The sequence below is a fragment of the Homo sapiens genome, chromosome 3, assembly GCF_000001405.40.
Source record: "Homo sapiens chromosome 3, GRCh38.p14 Primary Assembly".
NCBI lineage: Eukaryota > Metazoa > Chordata > Mammalia > Primates > Hominidae > Homo > Homo sapiens.
Genome location: NC_000003.12, coordinates 155,757,928 through 155,778,803, shown reverse-complemented (window position 1 = coordinate 155,778,803; position 20,876 = coordinate 155,757,928). Strand labels below are relative to the sequence as shown.

The 20,876-nt window shown below is 40.5% G+C and overlaps 1 protein-coding gene and 1 pseudogene across 3 annotated transcripts in view; one reads left to right on the top strand and one right to left on the bottom strand.

Moving 5' to 3' along the window:
• The window catches only part of C3orf33 (chromosome 3 open reading frame 33), a 43,662-nt gene extending 27,475 nt beyond the window's left edge, over positions 1-16,187 (top strand). For all 3 annotated transcript variants that reach the window (XM_011512710.3, NM_001308229.2, NM_173657.3), the window contains 3 exons: positions 2,956-3,103; positions 11,135-11,295; positions 14,886-16,187. In XM_011512710.3, coding sequence (XP_011511012.1) covers positions 2,956-3,103; positions 11,135-11,295; positions 14,886-15,287 — 711 coding nt within the window. In that variant the 3' untranslated portion in view covers positions 15,288-16,187. The remainder of the gene's footprint in view (positions 1-2,955; positions 3,104-11,134; positions 11,296-14,885) is intronic.
• RPL7AP24 (ribosomal protein L7a pseudogene 24) lies at positions 17,581-18,242 on the bottom strand (annotated as a pseudogene).

The following is a 20,876-nucleotide window of genomic DNA, read 5'->3' as shown; positions in this document are numbered from 1 at the left end:
TGACATTGATTAATTCATTGGTATTCCCTTAGTGTTTTCAGTAAACCATGTTGGGAACCATCTGACTATGTGCATATTTAATCTGTATTTCTCTGTTTTTCCCATAAACTTGTCATAAGCAACTTTGTCCTGTGATTCAAATTCTTTGTGGTTTGATTTAGCATTTCTCCTCTCTTTCATTTATATTCTGCATATTTCACATTCTTGAGTGAATATTGACAGTAGATCCAGAATCTTTTTCCTCCCAACTTTTTCTCCTAAAAAATTTTGTCACATTCATTTTCCTTTCACCTAGATTCACCAGTTGTTAACATTTTGCTACAGTTGTATTCTCTCTTCCTTTGTGAAACCAATTCAAAGCAAGTTGCAGACATCATGAGACATCATCCATAAATACTTCATAGCGTACTTCCTAAGAGCAAGGATTTTTCCTACATACCCACATTAATATTAGCACATCTAATAAATTTAACATTTCTGCACCAATCTTACATAAAATAAAGTTCATATTCAGATGTATTTTCTAAAAAAGGTCCTTTATTGTTTTTTTCCCAATCCAACATTCAAACAAGGATCATGCATTATATTTACTTGTTATGTCTCATTAGACTCCTTTAATCAAGAATATTACCCCTACTTGTTTTTTTTTTTTTTTTTTTTTTGAAATGGAGTTTCACTCAGGCTGGAGTGCAGTGGCACGATCTCAGCTCACTGCAACCTCCACCTCCCAGGTTCAAGCGATTCTCCTGCCTGAGCCTCCTGTGTAGCTGGGACTACAAGTACGCACCACCATGCCCAGCTAATTTTTGTATTTTTAGTAGAAATGGAGTTTCACCATGTTGGCCAGGATGGTCTCCATCTATTGACCTCATGATCTGTCCTCCTCGGCCTCCCAAAATGCTGGGATTACAGGTATGAACCATCGCATCTGGCCATTACCCCTACTTAAAAACAATTTTTTTCTTTCATGATGCTGACATTTTTAGAGTCCAAGCCAGTTGTCTTGTAATATGTTCTATAATCTGAATTTGTTTCTTGCCTTGTGAGATTCAGCCTAAGCATTTTGGCAAGAAGGTGATGATATGTACTTCCTAGTTTATGACATCAAAATTCATGAGGCAGGAGGATTGTTTGAGCCCAGGAATTTGAGATCAGCCTGGGTGACAAATAAAGACCCCATCTATACAAAAAATTTAAAAATTAACCAGGTGTAGTGGTGCACACCTGTAGTCCTACTTGGGGGGCTGAGGCCGGAGGATTACTTGAGCCCAGGAGGTCGAGGCTACAGTGAGCCAGGATTATGCCACTGAGCTGCAGCCTGGGCCACAGAGCGAGACCCTGTCTAAAAAAAAAAAAGATCTGTAATGTTAGTTTGTCCTTTAATATTATCACAGCTAATAAAATTAACAATAATCTCTTAGAATCATCTAATACCCAGTCTGTATTCAGATCTTGATTGTCACTATGATTTTTTTTTTAATTTTTTTTTTAGACAGAGTTTCGCTCTTGTTGCCCAGGCTGGAGTGCAATGGTGCGATCTTGGCTCACTGCAACCTCCGCCTCCCAGGCTCAAGCAGTTCTCCTGCCTCAGCCTCCCAAGTAGCTGGGATTACAGGCATGCACCACCACGCCCGACTAATTTTGTATTTTTAGTAGAGATGAGGTTTCTCCATGTTGAGGCTGGTCTCGAACTCCTGACCTCAGGTGATCCTCCCGCCTCGGCCTCCAAAAGTGCTAGGATTACAGGCATGAGCCACCATGCCCGGCCAATTGTCACTATGATTTTTAAAAATAGATGATCTATTCAAATAGTCTATATATTTTATTTATTTCTTAAATCTCATTTATTTTATAGTATCTTGCCACCCTTTTTTTCCAATGCCATTGATTTGTTGGGAAAACCAAGTGATTTATTCTATAGTATATTCCACATTCTGGGTTTGTCTCCTACACTATTCTTGGTTATAAAAATCTTCAGTTCAACCTTACTGTCATAGGAAGTTGGGTACTAATTTATTCTTTTTTTTTTTTTTTTTTTTTTTTTGACAGAGTCAGGTTCTCGCTCTGTCACCCAGGCTGGAGTGTAGTGGTGCTATTATGGCTCACTGTAACCTTAAACTCCTGGGCTCAAGTGACCCTCCTGTTCTGTGTTACCATGCCCAGCTGATTTTTACATTTTTTTGTGGAGATGGTATCTTGCTATTGTTGCCCAGGCTGGTCTCAAACTTCTGGCCTCAAGTAACCCTCCAACCTAAGCCTCCCAAAGTGCTGGGATTATAGGCATAAGCCATCGTGCCTGGCTTTTCCTTCTGTTATGTGAGCCTCTTAACTAGCCATAATTATGAACAAAGCTTATGGTATTGTTAACGTGGAAAAAATAGGCATAAAGTGTTGATTGATTCCAGGATATCACCTAAGTGTTAGGGATTGTAGTACAGTCCTAATGTTGGCCTTTTTTTCGTTTTTCTTTTTTAAATGTGCCTTTTCTCCTACAAGATAAAAAAATGATAGTAAAAAAACCTGGTTGGTTAAGGTTCTAACTTAATTTGACTGAGCTTTGTTTAAGTTTTCCCGTCAGTATATGCATGAATAGATTGTACTTATGTGGAACAAGCTAGAGACTGTTTAACCAGATTTGTGTGGTGCCAGGCATAGATAGATACTCAATGTCTTTTGATGAATTGTGTCATATTTTGAGGTTATAAGCTTTTAGAAGTTAGGAGTCTGTTTAATGTCTTTATGTGGTTGGCTTGAAAATGGTGAATAATGATTTGTAAATAATGTTTCCATAAACACTTTTGATTAAATCATATTAAAGTAATATAAAATTAGGAACTAAATTTTAAAATGTTCATGGTTATGTACTCTTGTGAAATGTTTTGATAATTTGACATTTTAAATTTTGAGATGACAATAATAATAAGTGGTTATATTTTTCTCCCTGTAAATCAATAGACATCAAAATTTACAAGCTCTTCGGATATTCCAGTAGAATTTATAAGAAGAAATGTTAAACTACGTGGACGATTACGCCGAATAACTGAGAATGGTTTAGAAATTGAACATATACCTATTACTTTACCTATTATAGCTTCATTGAGAAGTAAGTAAGGTACAAGATTAATGAAACTAACTATTGTGGTCTTCTTTTATTAGAAGTTATTTATAAAATAGCAAAAAAAAGTCATTTTAATTCCTAATAACTCTCCATTGTCCATGAGAAAGTCTCAATTCTTGGCTTTATATATAAGGAGGTGGGAGGTGCTTAATTTGGCTCAGATTTCCTTTCTTCTTTCGTTCCTTTTTTTTTTTTTTGAGACAGAGTTTCACTTTTGTTGCCAGGCTGGAGTGCAATGGTGCAATTTCGGCTCACTGCAACCTCCGCCTCCCAGGTTCAAGCAATTCTCCTGCCTCAGCCTCCTGAGTAGCTAGGATTACAGTCATGCACCACCACGCCCAGCTAATTTTGTATTTTTAGTAGAGATGGGGTTTCTCCATGTTGGTCAGGCTGGTCTTGGACTTCTGACTTCAGGTGATCCGCCCACCTCGGCCTCCAAAAGTGCTGGGATTACAGGCCTGAGCCACCACACCCTGCCCCTTCACTGCTTTTTAAATTGAACTATTCAATCATTCATTCATTTCACAAATGTTGAGCACCTATTATGGTCTAGAACCTAAGCTAATTGTACAATGTTGGGTAAAACAAAGCTCTTTTAACCCTTGAAGCTTATAGTCTAGGTGCGAGATAGACAACAAACAAATGAAAAGTTGTCCTAAGAGCTATGAAGAAAAGGAGCAGGATACTAGGATAATTCTGGGTGGTCTTGGGGATGGCAGTATGGAATCTATACATATAGAGTAGTCAGAGAAGGCCTCATTGAGGAGTTGTTATTTAATCAGGGACCTGAAGAATTAAGAGGAGGCTAGCTAGAAAGAGGATAGGTGAGAAAGAGCATGATGCTTTTGACAAGACATACCAAGACTCCTGTGATTGAGGCACAGGGAGGAAGGGTGTAAGACAGGGGTATCCAATCTTTTGGCTTCCCTGGGCCACATTGGAAGAAGAAAAATTTTCTTGGGCCACACATTAAATACACTAATGATAGCTGATGAGCTAAAAAAAAAAAAAAAAAAAAAGCAAAACAATATCATAACGTTTTAAGAAAGTTTACAAATTTGTGTTGGGACATATTCAAAGCCATCCTGGGCTGCATGTGGCCCACAGGCTGCAGACTGGACAGGTTTGGTGTAAGATGCCACTTTCCTGCTGCAATTCCCATTTCTCCTTGCTTCACATCAAAGCACCCAGACACACAGACCTTCCTGCTGCTTATATGCATTCTCATAACCCTGGGCCTGGTTCTTTGCTTGGAGTATCTTGGCCTCTGTTGAACATCAATTGATTCTTCAGAATCTGGCTCAACTGTCAGCTCTTCTGTGAAGCCTCCTTAACTGCCAAGCTGCATTAGCCTCTTTCTTTGCTATACCCCACAACAATTTATAATACACTGCAATTATAGTACTTATTCACCTTTTTCTGCTATTATGTATTTAGGTTTATATTCCTTACTGAACTGTGAGCCCCTGATGGGCAAGGAGTTTTTCCTTTTTATTTTGGTATTCAAAGTCCCTAGAAAAAGACTTATTAGCCAATAGAGACTTGGTAAAATTTGTCAAATGAATTAATTTAATTCTATTTATGGCCCTTCTTAATATTCTGATTTTATGAAGAAAGGAGTTCTTGCTTTTTTAAAATCCCGAGTTGAACGAATATCACTCTGTTCAATAATGTACAACTGTAAAGGAACAAGATTGATTTTCCCCCCCAAACATACTTGATACCATTAATTCTTTTAATAAACCAAAGAGAACTTATACAGTTTTAATGAGTGTTGCTCCCTGAAGAGAGATTACCAAGGATGGCCTTTGGCCATCTCAGCTCTAAGCAGGATTTACACTTCACAGGTCCTTTAGCTTCTCAGTTGCTGTAATAATTTAAATCTCTCCTATCTGATAGTAATGACTCGTTAGAGCTTAGCCAGCCAGATCATCACCTGTGGTTGTCCAGGCTATGCATTGCATGTCTACAGGGGTGATATTCCATAGAAATCTGCCTCCTGAAATCATGCAATGCCACAGCACTGTAATTGCCATGTATGATTTTTATATTAAGGGATCTCACACAAATAATAAAGTATTTATGTAATTTGGTACATAGAATCTGAATTTTAGAGCCTAAGGGAGCCTTAGAAGTCCTTAAATTCCCACTTTTCTCCTCCAGTTATTTTAATATTTTCTATAGAGATTAAATGCCATCTAGCTAATGATGATGAAATCAAAGCTAGAAAACAGATTTTCCATCACTTAGTTCAGAACTGCATGTTCTATAGACATGTAGAAGTTAAAGAAACAGATGTTAAATGTCTTATACCTCTCAACAGATATTAACCGCTACAAATGTCATGATAGTGCTAATGCCTGTTTTATGACTAACATAAACTGCTTATGTGAAAAAGATCATTTTGCACTTTCAGACATGAAACCTATTTACCTGTAAAATTGTTTTAGAGCTAGAAAGTTGCTAACCAAACACCATTTTGAATGTTACAATAAGTTGCTAGAGCATAGTCTTCATTTTAAAATAGTTAATTAAAAGCTCCTGTGTTCCTCTCACTATTTTTACTTCTTGGTTTATGTAATAGAAATAGATGTTTATTCTATTTCTGAGGAGGGCTAAGATCCAGGTCCTAAAAATGGAGCTCACTCTTACTAAGAAGGTTTGGTTCAAATGACTCAACATAGTAGTAGAGGCTGCATGGTGTAGTAGAACACAGATTGGTGTGTGGAGCTGTGTTCTGTTTCTACTTTTGGTCTGTGGTTCCCACCACCATCAAACAAGAAAGTTATGATTTCTAAGACTCCTTCCTAATGACAATTCTGTGCCACCTATCCCTTCGGCTGTCTTATTTTTGGTATGTATGAATGAGGAGGCACACACACACACACACACACACACACACACACACACACAGAGCCTAAAAATTTTATGAACTGAAACATTTAGAATACTTCATTCCTCCAATTATTACTGAATGCCTGTGCTATTGCTACTGTCTCAGTACAGCAGCAAAGAAAATGGGCACATGCCTACGGTAGTCATAAAACCTGCAGTCTAGTGAGGAAATTATTCAAAGCTTCTCATCCCTGATGGTAAAAAAAAAAAAAAAGTTTTTGACACAGGTGTAGATGATTCTGCTGTCATACAACTTCATGTGTCTCATGAAGTTGTACATTGTCATGAATCCACTGATAGTATTTTGTAGATCTAGAGTTGTTTACAAAAAAATCAGTTTTTGTATTATATCCTATCTCTCTAAAAACCTCAAAAATATTTAGCCACAGAGTTTCCCACCCATCTCATGAGGCACAAATATAACAGTATCCCTAGTTGGGGTTTGCTTCAGTTTTCATCTCATGTCTGTAGGTTTTCTAGATAATCATGATCCTTCCCTTACTTGACATAGTCACTCTCTACTGCCTTCTGCTTCTCTGTTTATTTGAAACATCCAAGTCCCACTTTGTATTTATTGATTGATTTTGAGACTGGGTCTTGCTCTGTCACCCAGGCTGGAGTGCAGTGGTGCGATCATGGTTCATTGCAGCCTCCTCCTTTCAAGCTGAAGCTATCCTCTTGCCTCAGCCTCCTAAGCAGTTAGGACTACAGAAGTGCACCATCATGTCCACTAATTTTTAAGTTTTTTTTGTAGAAAGGGGGTCTTGCTGTGTTGCCCTTGCCCTTCTTGAACTTCTGGGTTTAAGACATCGGCCCACCTCTACCTTCCAAAGTGCTGGGATTAAAGGCTGAGCCACTGCACCTGGCCAAGTTCTACCTTTTTGATAGAGTACTCTTGGAGTACTCCACTGGAGCCTAAGTTGTTCTCCCCTCCTAACCAGCATGTACTGTGTCATCCCATCTGTTATGAATTGGGTTTTATTTACTTATTTATTTTTGATGTTTGTATAAAAGATTTATTGAAGGGCTCAGAAGATAGAGGGATTCACGTCACAGTAACACAAAACTAAAAAATTCATAGATTAGAAATCAAAGACCAGGTGTGGTGGCTCATGCCTGTATTTCCAACACTTTGAGAGGCTGTAGCAGGAGGATCCCTTGAGCCCAAGAATTTGAGACCAGCCCTGGCAACATTGTGAAACCCTGTCTCCACACACAAAAAATTTAAATTAGCAATGGCTCATACCTGTAATCCAGCACTTTGGGAGGCTGAAGCAGGTGGATCGCTTGAGTCCAGCCTGGCCTACATGGTGAAACCCTGTCTCTACAAAAAATACAAAGATTAGCTGAGTGTGGTGATGCAGGCCTGTAGTCACAGATACTTGGGAGGCTGAGGCGAGAGCATTGCTTAAGCCCAGGAAGCAGAGGTTGCAGTGAGTCAAGATTGTGACACTGCACTCCAGCCTTGGTGACAGAAGTGAGAGCTGATTTCAAAAAACAAACAAATAAACAACAAAATTAGCTGGGCCCGATGGCGTGTGCCTGTTGCCCTGGTTACTTGCGAGGCTGATATGGGAGGATCGCTTGAGCCTGGGAGGTTGAGGCTACAGTGAGCCATGATCATGCCACTGCACTCCAGCCTGGGTGGCAGAGCAAAACCATGTCTCCACACACCACATACACACACACACACACTGTCCTCCAGCCTGGGTGGCAGAGCAAAACTATGTCTCAACACACACACACACACACACACACACACACACACACACAGTGGCAGAGCAAAACTATGTCTCAACACACACACACACACACACACACACACACAGTGGTTCATGCCTGTAATCCCAGCACTTTGGGAGACCGAGGTGGGCAGATAACTTGAGGTCAGGAGTTCAAGACCAGCCTGGCAAATACGGCAAAACCCCCTTTCTACTAAAAATACAAAATTAGCTGGGTGTGGTGGCGGGAGTGTGGTGGCATGCGCTTGTAATTCCAGCTACTCAGGAGGCTGAGGCAGGAGAATCACTTGAGGCAGAGGTTGTAGTGAGCCAAGATTGCACCATTGCACTTCAGCCTGGGTGACAAGAAAGAAACTGCATCTCAAAAAGATAAAAAATAAAGGTAACACTTGCTTTTTCAAAAAATCAATTTGTTTCTGGAAGATTTATTTTTAAATTCTTGTTGATCATATTATATTTTAAATACTCAATGGGGAATTTGCTAATTTAAAGGAATGCAATGACCTTTGTCAAGTAAATAATTAGGATATTAATATTTAGGTTGATAGTGTTTCATTAGATTAATGGACCATCCACTTCAAGTTTTTGGTCCCAAAAGCTTTGGTCTCAAAGACTATGGGGTTGACACAGGATTTTTTTGGCTCTGCTTCGCCAGAGACATCCACAGCTGGTGATGCCCCTGCCTGGACCTTGCTTGGCCCCGGGCTTGCTACAGGAGGTATTCTGCCCACTTGGCCTGGTGGGCTGCACTTGGCTTGCACCCTGGTCTGGACCCTGTGCTCATTTGCACGTGCTGTTCAGTGGGTCTCAATTCTTGTCCCACATCCAAGAAGAATGAGGTTAGCTGATCACTGGTGGGTGAGCAAGGCAAAGAGTTTTGTTGAGTGATAAAACAGCTCTCAGCAGAGAGGGAACCTGAGTTGTGCAACCCAACCCCCGCCACCTGAAGTCAGGTAGTCTCCTGCCCAAAGACGGGCAGTTTCAAAGTGTGGTTGAGTTTGGGGCTTTTTAGGCTCAGAATGGGTGAGTGCACGCTGATTGGTTTGTGAGTATGCAAAAAAGGCTAAAAATGTGCACCACTAAAAGATGGGCATGACAGTGCAAAAACCAATTAGGGAAGGGTAGCTATATGTAAAATAGGTGGAGGTTGGGGATCAATCAGAGGAAAGAGCACCAAATAAGAAGAGAGGCTCTCTATCCACTCCATGGATTTATCTGAGACTTGCAGCTTGGTTTTTGGGCTTTAAACTGTCTTTGGTTTGAAGGTCAGGTTTCACCGGGCACCTGCCCCTATTTTCCTGGGAATTTGACTGCCTCCTGCTGCTATCAGCATGTCTTACTGGAAGAGGATTGGTGGTGTTGGCAACATTACAGGATTGGAGAGGGACCTCAGAATTTTCAGGCTTTCTGTAACTCATTATGTACTAATGATTTGACATAATTTAATCTTTGTTGGATATACTGCCTTAATCTAATTTGTGTATTATTGTAACAAAGTTTTTGTAAAAGTATGATCATTCTACAAATACCTTTTTCTTCTTCTTCTTTTTTTTTTTTTTTTTTGAAACAGTCTCACTCTATTGCCCAGGCTGGAGTGCAGTGGTGCGATCTTGGCTCACTTCAGCTTCTGCCTCCTAGATTGAAGTGATTCTCGTGCCTCAGCCTCCTGAGTAGCTGGGATTACAGGCACGCACCACCATGCCCAGCTAATTTTTGTATTTTTTTTTTTTTTTTTTGAGAGGGAGTTTTGCTCTTGTTGCCCAGGCTGGAGTGCAATGGCACGATCTTGGCTCACCGCAACTTCCGCCTCCCAAATTCAAGCACGTCTCCTGCCTCAGCCTCCAAAGTAGCTGAGATTACAGGCATGTGCCACCATGCCTGGCTAATTTCGTATTTTTAGTAGAGACAGGGTTTCACCATGTTGGTCAGGCTTGTCTCGAATTCCTAACCTCAGGTGATCCACCTGCCTCAGCCTCCCAAAGTGCTGGGATTACAGGTGTGAGCCACCACACCTGGCCTTAATTTTTGTATTTTTAGTAGAGATGGGGTTTCACCATGTTGGCCAGACTGATCTTGAACTCCTGACCTCAGGTGATCCACCCACCTTGGCCTCCCAAAGTGCTGGGATTACAGGAGTGAGGCACTGCACCTGACCTTCTTTATTTTGAGATAAGTTCTTGCCCTGTAGCCTAGGCTGGAGTGCAGTAGTACAATTGCTTATAGCTTTTGGTGCTTCTCAAACTAAAATTCTAGGACAGGTTTTAAGAAGCCCATATCCTAATAAAATTTATTTTTTTATCAAATAATATAACAGTGTTCTAGGATATCTTCTTGAACTAAAGTATTATTTCTTTCCTGGAGAATAGATGGATGTAACTTTATATTTTCAACCATTATGTAAGAGCTTAATGTATGTTAAGTGTATAATTTTTTTAAAGACATTAAGTTTTTTTTGTCAGCTGTTATCCCTTTTTGGAAAGTTATAAATTTTATCTAAAGTAAAATCTTGTTATTAAAATTACATTGGTTAAAATTCTATCAAGGGTTTGGGTAAACAGGTCTTCTTCATATTATGCTACTTAGAATATCAATTGATAAAATCCTGTCTAGAAGTCAGTTTTGCAAAATGTATAAGCATAACAGTGTTGATGTAGATCAATATTTGTTGAGATTGGAAGATATCTTCAATAAGTTAAGTGAAAAAGCAGTTTCTGTGGTTCTTTTGGTGGTAATAGCCCATATTATTAAACTGAAGGCCTATAGCTTTATGTGTGTATGTGTAAAAATAAGCATGGGAGGTTGAAAAAAGAAGGTTAAATTGGTTAAATCTCACTACTTGTTCTGAAGCTTACTGAAATGGGTTTTTGAAGGCTGGGCGTGGTGACTCACGCCTGTAATCCCAGCACTTTGGGAGGCCGAGGTGGGTGGATCACTTGAGGCTAGGGGTTCGAGACCAGCTTGGCCAACATAACGAGACCCTGTCTCTACTAAAAATGCAACAATCAGCTGGGCATGGTGGTGCATGCCTGTAATCCCAGCTACTCAGGAGGTTGAGGCACGAGAATCGCTTGAACCTGGGAGGCAGAGATTGCAGTGAACTGAGATTGCGCCACTGTACTCCAGCCTAGGTGACAGAGTGAGACCCTGTTTCAAAAAGAAAAAAGAAAAAAAAATGAGTTTTTGAAATTACTGTGTTATATATACTTGTATTGTTTTAAAAGAAAACTTGAATATAGAAATAAATGGGTCTACAGTTAGAGAGACTGGGTATTTATAAATAAACATAATATATTTGTTTGTTTGTTGGAGGCCAACTGACTGGAATTTGCTTTTGCAACATGCTGTTAAAGCTAAACTCTTTTCTACCTAACCTTTTTAGAAGAGCCACGTGGTGCTTTGCTGGTTAAGTTGGCTGGAGTAGAACTCGCTGAAACTGGGAAGGCATGGTTACAAAAAGAGCTAAAACCTTCCCAATTACTATGGTTCCAACTTCTTGGAAAGGAGAATTCAGCACTCTTTTGCTATCTTCTGGTGAGTAAGGTAAGCAATGTGAAGAAATAACTAGCAATATCTTATTCTTCTTATTACTTATATGTAAACACTTATTTAATTAGAACTTTGGATATATAATGGGACTGACTTTTTTTTGCCTTTTAAACTGCTACTGATAGTGATTATGCATAGGTGTCTTGTATACAAATTTTATTTTAGTTACATATGTAATATATGTTTAATATAGAAAAAATAAAATTAAGAAAAAAGAAAAACTTCAAATTATTATTTATTATTATTATTTTTTAGATGGAGTCTCTCTCTGTTGCCAGGCTGGAGTGCAGTGGCACGATCTCGGCCACTGCAACCTCTGCCTCTCAGGTTCAAGTGATTCTTCTGCCTCAGCCTCCTGAGTAGCTGGGACTACACATGGGCGCCGCCACACCCAGCTAATTTTTGTATTTTTAGTAGAGATGGGGTTTCACCATGTTGGCCAGGATGGTCTCGATCTCTTGACCTTGTGATCTGCCCACCTTGGCCTCCCAAAGTGCTGGGATTCAGGCATGAGCCACTGCGCCTGGCCTATTGTTTATGATTATTATTTTTTGAAACAGAGTCTCACTCTGTTGCCCAGGCTGGAGTGCAGCGGCATGATCTTGGCTCACTGCAATCTCTGCCTCCCAGGTTTAAGCAATTCTCCTGCTTCAGCCTCCCAAGTAGCTGGGACTACAGGTGCACACCACCACACCTGGCTAATTTTTTGTATTTTTAGTAGAGATGAGGTTTTGCCATGTTGGCCAGGCAGGTCTCGAACTCCTGACCTCAGGTGATCTGCCTGCCTCAGCCTCCCAAAGTGCTGGCATTACAGGCATGAGCCACTGTGGCCATAAACTTCAAATTACTAATGACTCTGGGCATTGCTAATTTAGGCAGTATCATTATATATTTATTTATGTATGGGTATATTACATCATGCTTGTTACTATAAACCACTTGCTGAGTGAGGCTTGTTAGCTGGAAACTACAAACAGCCAGGGTGTTTTCTGACGGTTTGCTTAGTCTGGTCCAATATGTTGTTGATAGGTCTAAGTGTATAAATCTTTGAACTGTAAAGTTGAACATTCTTAAGTACTAGTTCTGATCAGTGATGAGTCATCTAAAGATGTTGCCTCAGAGTTTTCTTACCTTTATGATTGGCCATAGCCATTGTATAACTGGAAGTGACAGTTTCATCTTTGTTGCTGAATCACTGTCCTGCATCCCAGGATGTGCATGTGCCTTACTCCAGATTTTTTTGGTGGGCCATCAGATAGGTTTTCATACCTTGATCATACTATGATATTCAGCTTTTAAAATTATAATTATGAGGGTACAGTCGCTTGTGCCTATAATCCCAGCAACTCAGGAGGCTGAGGTGGGAGGAACGCTTCAGCCTACGCAGTCGAGACTGCAATGAGCTATGATCGCACCAATGTACTCCAACCTGGGCGATAGAGAGAGACCCCTTCTTGTAAATAAAATAAGATGATTAGAATTTTAACCATTTTAATTCTTAAAAGCTTTTTGAAATATTAATAGAAAGCTTAATGAAATTCATTAATTTTTGCATGTCCAGATGATATTCAGTACTTTCAAAATAAGAATTATCTAAAACTAATTGATTGAAGTATCTTGTATTTTAAAAGTAAGTTTAAAAGTAAGTTAATAAAGGCTGGGCATAGTGGCTCATGCCTGTAATCCCAGCACTTTGGGAGGCCGAGGCCAGCAGTTCACTTGAGGTGAGGAGTTTGAGACCAGCCTGGCCAATTTGGTGAAACCCCATCACTACTAAAAATACAAAAATAAGCTGGGCATGGTGCCGGGTGCCTGGAATCCCAGCTACTCAGGAGGTTGAGGCAAGAGAATCACTTGAACCCTGGAGGCGGAGGTTACAGTAAGCCGAGATCGTGCCACTGCACTCCAGCCTGGGTGACAGAGTGAGACTCCGCTTCAAAAAAACAAAACAAAACAATACAAAACAAAAAAAGTAAGTTAATAATACAAAGTTGTATAAAACATCCTAAAGGCCTTACAAAAATATTAGCTTTTAAGTTAAAGAGTATAATTACCAAAAAAAAGGAGATGATTATGACGATGATAAAGGTAGCAATCAATTATGTATATTTTGAGGGTCAACATGTGTCAGACACTGAGTTAAGGTGCCATGCTTATATTATGTTACTTATCTTCAGAACCACTCTACAGGTTGTTGCTTTTATTCCCACTTTCAGGTAGGACTTTTAGGGAAACTGATTGTCTTGGTCAGGGTAACCTGGAAGAAAAGCCTGTATCCAAACCCAACTCTTCCTGGCTCCTGAGCCTACATTTACTTCATCTTATAAGCATATCTTTATTTTATCTTGCTTCCTGGGTGACCAAACTATGCTATACACATAGAGTGATAATTTACTTCTCCTGTTTGAATTTTGCTAACGTGTGAGGTGGAATTTTAATTATACTGAGTTTGGTTCAAGGGAATGAGCTTATAAGATTTGAAAGATTTAGAAAAATATGATAATTGCTTTATAACTGTTATCATGTACTAAAAATTTCTCAATTTGAAGGAACAAAATTTTATTAACACTTTGTTAAGATTAAAATCCCACAAGGATTGTAGAAATATCTAGGCAGGATCTCCTTTTATTTATTTATTTATTTTCCCGAGATGGAGTCTTGCTCTGTCACCCAGGCTTGAGTGCAGTGGTGTGATCTCGGCTCACTGCAACCTCTGCCTCCTGGGTTCAAGCAATTCTCCTGCCTCAGCCTTCTGAGTGGCTGGGATTACAGGCACCTGCCATCGCACCCGGCTAATTTTTGTGTTTTTTTTTTAGCAGAGGTGGTGTTTCACCATGTTGGCCAGGCTGGTCTCGAACTCCTGACCTTGTGATCTGCCCGCCTCGGCCTCCCAAAGTGTTAGGATTACAGGCATGAGCCACCGCGCCCCGCCAGGATCTCCTTTATACCGTAAATTAATGAAAAAAAAAAATCCCATTTATCCAGTTTCATTAGGAGGTGAGGTATTCCATGAATAAAATTTCCTGTAGGATGAAGACTCAATGGCCAAGACTATTTTTATGTTAATTATTTTGAGGGAAGTCTTTTAAAAATGTATTTACTTGCCAGTGCTGTCCAAAACACTGGAATTCTGAACCTAATTTAACAGTTCAGTGATGATTCAGTTCATTTTGCATTTGGCTACTTTTAGTTTAGTTTCTCTTCATCTCTTAGTTTCTTTTGCTGGTCCTACTGTCACTCTGCCTATCTTGGGTGTCCCACTTCCCCTCCACAGAACCACCAACAGACCAAAAACACATTTTTCATACTTTATTGCTTCCTCACCTCTTCGGATTAGGAGAACAGTGAGTCTGTGGAGAATTCCATGTTATAAAAGAATCAACTGATTTTGAGCAAGGGTCTCTTCTAGTAATAAAAATCCTTGGATTTCGCAAGAGCTGTTTTGGGGGAGCCTTGGGGACCATTTTTGCCTTTTCTTTGGAGGACTAAAATTGTTGAATGACTGATTTTTAAGGTAAATAAGATGTGATGGGTATAACAACAATTATCTTAAATAATTGGTTTGTATTATTTTTAAATTCAAGGGTGGATATTTCAGCGTGAATCTGAATGAAGAAATTTTGAGAAGAGGCCTTGGCAAAACTGTTCTTGTTAAAGGGCTTAAATATGATTCTAAAATCTACTGGACAGTTCACAGAAACTTACTTAAAGCTGAATTAACAGCCTTAAAAAAAGGAGAAGGAATATGGAAGGAAGACTCTGAAAAAGAAAGTTACTTAGAAAAATTCAAAGATTCCTGGAGAGAAATATGGAAAAAGGACAGTTTTTTAAAAACAACAGGATCAGATTTCAGCTTGAAAAAAGAAAGTTATTATGAAAAACTTAAAAGGACTTATGAAATATGGAAAGACAACATGAACAACTGCTCCTTAATACTGAAGTTCAGAGAACTTATAAGTCGCATAAACTTTCGTAGAAAAGGGTGAAACGGTCAAGAAATCTAGAGGTAACCTTCTCCAAAGAGTGAAATATGTAAATATATGGACGTTTTTCATTGAATCAAAATGGAAGTTTTGCCAAATGATCAAAGTGTTAGTCCAATGGTATTTAAATATTAAAAAGAGATGATTATTATAAGCATAATGTCAGAATTAATTTAAACAAATTATAATTAATGTAATATGATTTTAGGAAGGATGAAACACTTTATGAGAAGTTACCAGGCTGAATGATTTACATATATAGTGCTAATGTGTGAAGAGAAAGTTTAACTCTTCACCCACTATGTTGTTTTTAGTTATTTTGGGCTGCCATATTGAATTTTTTGTTTGTTTGTTTTGAGAAGGCGTTTCGCTCTTGTTGCCCAGGCTGGAGTGCAATGGCGTGATCTTGGCTCACTGCAACCTCCTGCTTCCTGGGTTCAAGCGATTCTCCTGCCTCAGCCTCCTGAGTAGCTGGGATTACAGGCATGCACCACCATGCCCGGCTAATTTTGCATTTTTAGTAGAGACGGGGTTTCTCCATGTTGGTCAGGCTGGTCTCAAACTCTTGACTTCAGATGATCTACCCACCTTGGCATCCTAAAGTGCTGGGATTACAGGCGTGAGCTACCAAGCCCGGCTTTTTTTGTTTTGACATGGAGTTTCGCTCTTGTCACCCAGGCAGGAGTGCAGTGGCGTTATCTTGGTTCACTGCAACCTCCGCCTCCTGGATTCAAGTGATTCTCCTGCCTGAGCCTCCCAAGTACCTGGGATTACAGGAGCTCCCACCAAGCCTGGCTAAGTTTTGTATTGCCATATTGAATTTTTGTTTAGAAAAGATATGTGTTTATGTTTCCAGTTTTATTACCTTTCACTATTTATAATAAAGGAATTCTTTATGCTTTATGTCCAAAGTAGCTTTTTTCTCCTAATTGCTTTCTAATTGCTTGTGAATTTGGGGACAGGGTCTCTTAGACCATTCCTTGTAATAAAGAATGGCTAATTTCTACCTGTTGTTAGATGAGGGGGCTAATCTGGAGGACAAAAACAATGTACTAGCTGGGTATGGTGGCTCAAGTCTGTAATCCCAGCACTTTGGGAGGCTGAGGCGGGTGGATCACTTGAAGTCAGGAGTTCGAGACCAATGACCAGCCTGGCCAACATGGTGAAACCCCGTCTCTACTAAAAATACAAAATTAACCAGATGTGGTGGGTCACACCTGTAATCCCAGCTACTTGGGAGGCTGAGGCAGGAGAATCGCTTCAATCTGGGAGGTGGAGTTTGCAGTGAGCCAAGATCGTGCCACTGCACTCCTGCCTGGGTGACAGTGAGCCTCTGTCTCAAAAACAAACAAAACAAACAAACAAACAATGTACTGAGGATGGCAGCACAGAGGATAGAAAAAACTGAGATGCCTGTCATTGTTGAGCCCTTGAAGTAGCCAATGCTTGAACTGCCCTGCTTTCCAATTTCTTGTTATTTGAGATAGCAATTAAAAAAAACATTTAAAGCCAATTTAAGTTGGCTCTAGGATTTGACACACACAAACTTGCTGATAAAATCATCTTGACAGTGTAAGCTTCTTTCGCCAGGCCAGCAGTAATCCACTTACACCCACAAAGTCTATACAAGTTATTTTTAATGGTTTATGATACTAAGAAAAGTCAGACTTATCATCTAGTCCAGATAGTTGACTCCTGTTAGAGTCAATAGCACAGAATGAGAAGTATAATGCTGCTGCTGCCTGACTCCTTTTTTTTTTTTTTTTTTTTTGAGATGGAGTCTTGCCCTGTTGCCAGGCTGGAGTACAGGGTCACAATCTTGTCTCACTGCAACCTCTCCCTTCCCAGATTCAAGCAATTCTCCTGCCTCAGCCTCCCAAGTAGCTGGGACTACAGGCACAAGCCACCATGCCTAGCTAATGTTTGTATTTTTAGTAGAGACGAGGTTTCACCATGTTGGCCAGGATGGTCTCCATACTCTTGACGTCGTGATCCGCCTGCCTCGGCCTCCCAAAGTGCTGGGATTATAGGCATGAGCAACTGTGCCCGGCCCTGACTCCTTCTTAGAACATAAGAAAATGGATTTTGCAACCTTTAGAAATTAAACATTCATTTTCAGTGAGGTCCCAAATATTCCAAAGATTTTTTGTGTGAATATGGTTTTATTTCATTACCTTTCTTTGGGATAGGATAGGAAGTCACATCCTAGTTTTTATTTCCTGATTTCTATGCCTCAATAGCTTTTTGTTTTAAGGGGATGTTTTATTTTTATTTACATGAAGTTAACAGAGTATATTTAAACTAGTTTTGTGGCAAGCTCTTGAGCCTTTTTCTTTTCCAACTTGGCATTGTGAATTACAGAATTTGGGCCTAAGTAATTGTCTTCCAGTGATGTCAGATCTTACAATAGTTATCACTGTAGTTAGTTCTGATGGCCTCTACCAGCTCAGCCAGCATACTACTATCTTTCCAGTTAAGCCGTATAAAAGTGAGACTGATGTAGGTCATCCTGTGACTTCATCTAACTTTTCCCTTGATGATGTAGTAGGGAACCCTGATTTTGTGGACAAGATGAGCAATAAGAAATGCAGATCAAGGGGTCTCCTCTCATGCGCAGTCACCATTGCTGACTATTCTTGTACTCCACTTAGACGGTGGCAGTATTAACACCTACGTGAAGGTCATGTATTCTTGGGTGGAGAATTTCCATTGGTTGGCAGCTTTTTTCTGGGCCAGCACTCACTTTTTCAGCTTGTCTCTGGTTAGTATTGTAGACCAGCTTGTTGGATAACCCAAGGGCAAGCTGAACTGGGTAATTTTAGAAAAGCTAGATCTTTGTCACTGGGATGGTTATAACAGGGCCATCTGAAAAAGTAAAACGTCCCTGTTAGGCTGGATATCAGACCAAAGCCCATGCTCTTTGCCTTTCTTAAATAGAGGATTTACTACTTCTTGGTCTTATTGGGGCTCAGAACATGACACCCCAAAATGTGGCACCTTGGCATACTGAGTATTTTAAGTTGAAGGAAATTGAGAACACTGCAGAAGCAGGAAAGTCACTCTCTGACCTTCTGCCACCTTTCTTTCCTGAAGCTGGCCATAAAAGAATTCTCTGACCTGCCTCTCTTGAAAGTAGATCAAAAGACTGTCATTTCAGAGGGAGCCTGTTCTATCCCCAGAGGCCAAGAAGAATCTGAACAAATAGGCCTTGCTCCCCCAACTTTATTTATTTATGTATTTTTATTTTTGAGATGGGATCTTGCTGTGTCACCCAGGCTGGAGTGCAATGGCGCAATCCTGGTTCACTGCAACCTCCGCCTCCTGGGTTCAAGCGATTCTCCTTCTTCAGCCTCCCAAATAGCTGGGATTACAGGCATGTGCCACCATGCCTGGCTAATTTTTGTATTTTTAGTAGAGACAGGGTTTTGCCATGTTGGCCAGGCTGCTCGAACCCCTGACCTCAGGTGATCTGCCTGCCTCTGCCTCCCAAAGTGCTAGGATTACAGGTGTGAGCCACCGTGCCCAGCCAGCTCCCCCAAGTTTAATACCATTAGGTCATACTCATTTGTCCTCTGCATGATCGTCCATAAATATACATAGTTTTCCCTGGGTTTTTGAGTCCTCATTTCTGATGGCTCTTGTGTCATGTAAAATTTATATTAAATAAATTTTTTATAGGTTTTTCTCTTGTTAATCTGTCTTTTATGAGGGATGTCAGTCATGAACCTTGCAATGAGTGAGGAAAATACATTACAATTTTCCCCTACAATCTTGTCTTTAAAACAACAGGGTCCATGGCCACTTTGTTTTCCTTTCGGGCTTCTTTTCTTTTGGTACCTTGGGTATCTAGACTTCCTTGCTTTTAAAATATGTTTCTATCAAATGAATTTAGTTCTTTATTTCTAAAGGATTGGATTTTTTGGTCCTTTTCAGTCTCTTTTTAATTTATGTTTCCTTTTTTGGGGTTTTTCATTTTCCATTCATACTTTTTTTTTTCCTCGAGGTGGAGTCTCACTCTGTCACCCAGGCAGGAGTGCAGTGGCACGATCTCGGCTCACTGCAACCTTTACCTCCCGGGTTCAAGTGTTTCTCCTGCCTCAACCTCCCGAGCAGCTGGGATTACAGGTGCGTGCCACCACACCTGGCTAATTTTTTTTAGTTTTAGTAGAGATGGGTTTTCACCATGTTGGCCAGGCTGGTCTTGAACTCCTAACCTCAGGGGATCTGCCCACCTGAGCCTCCCAAAATGCTGGGATTACAGGCATGAGCCACTGCACCTGGCCGGAAACATATGTACTCTTACACTAAGTGATGGGAATGTCGGCTCTTATCCAGGCACTTCCTCTCTCTTGCCTCACTTCTTAAATGATGCCTCTTTCTTCTTGTCTCAGGAAAATGAAGTGCTGGCAGGTCCAGTAGCTTAGCAAATTTCAGGAGAGACAATCATGATTTCCCAGGATAGTGGGATATGTAATGCCCTCGCCTTGTAAAAATGGAAGGGAAGTGTTAATGTCAAATCTCCTCCCCCATTTGAACAGGAAAGGGAAGGGATGCTTGCTGCTCTGTAGACTCTAACTTTTCCACTCCTCCTTACTCCCAGACCTCTTCTCATAGCTGGTACTTGTGAAACCTAAATCAGCTTGACTTTTCCCGCCACTGGGAAATCTGAGGATACTGCTGCCTGAAATACTGTCTTCTTAAAACTTGGCTCAAAGGAAAATTAGAGCCATGGATCCCAACAGTGCTGCTGTTATGCCTGCTATATCTGGTAACTCCTAGAGTCTAGTAGAGATCCCAGTCAGTACCTCACACCAACCTAATACACTTGCAAACCTGCTTTTAGAGAATTAACTGTGCCGGGCATGGTGGCTCATGCCTGTAATCCCAGCACTTTGGGAGGCTGAGGCAGGCAGATCACTTGAGGTTAGGAGTTCGAGACCAGCCTTGCCAACATGGTAAAACCCTGTCTCTAATAAAAATACAAAAATTAGCCGGGCGTGGTGGCAGGTGCCTGTAGTCCCAGCTACTTGGGAGACTGAGGCAGAGAACTGCTTGAACCTGGGAGGTGGAGGTTGCAATGAGCCAAGATGGTGCCATTGCACTCCAGCCTGGGTGACAGAGCAAGATTCCATCTCAAAAAAAAGGAAAAAAGAATTAACTGCACCTGAGGCAGGCAGATAATGTTATGCAAGAGTTTTATCCTCTTCTGAATTGCTCCAGCATCATTTGGCTCCTCAACAATGTAAGGACTGCATCTTTGAGCTATAAGACCCTCCCTTGGGTAATTAAACTGTATGTGCTGTCAAGGGGCATATTGTTGACACAGTTTGTCCCAAATCCAGTGGTTATATGTGCTGGCTACCATTTGTTAAAGTAGGCAGATAGCCAGAAATGAGCAGGCAATGGAGCTCCTCTGAGAAAAGAAGTCCTGGAGATGCTGCCCACTAATAATCAGCACTGCCCACTCACAGTCAGCAAAAACAAAACAAAAACAACAACAACAAAAAAAACCCAGTGGCTACACTGGCTACTTCTGGCCTTATGGTTGGTCTCCTCCGTTCCTAAAGGGTACGTATAAGGCCCAAGCCAGAG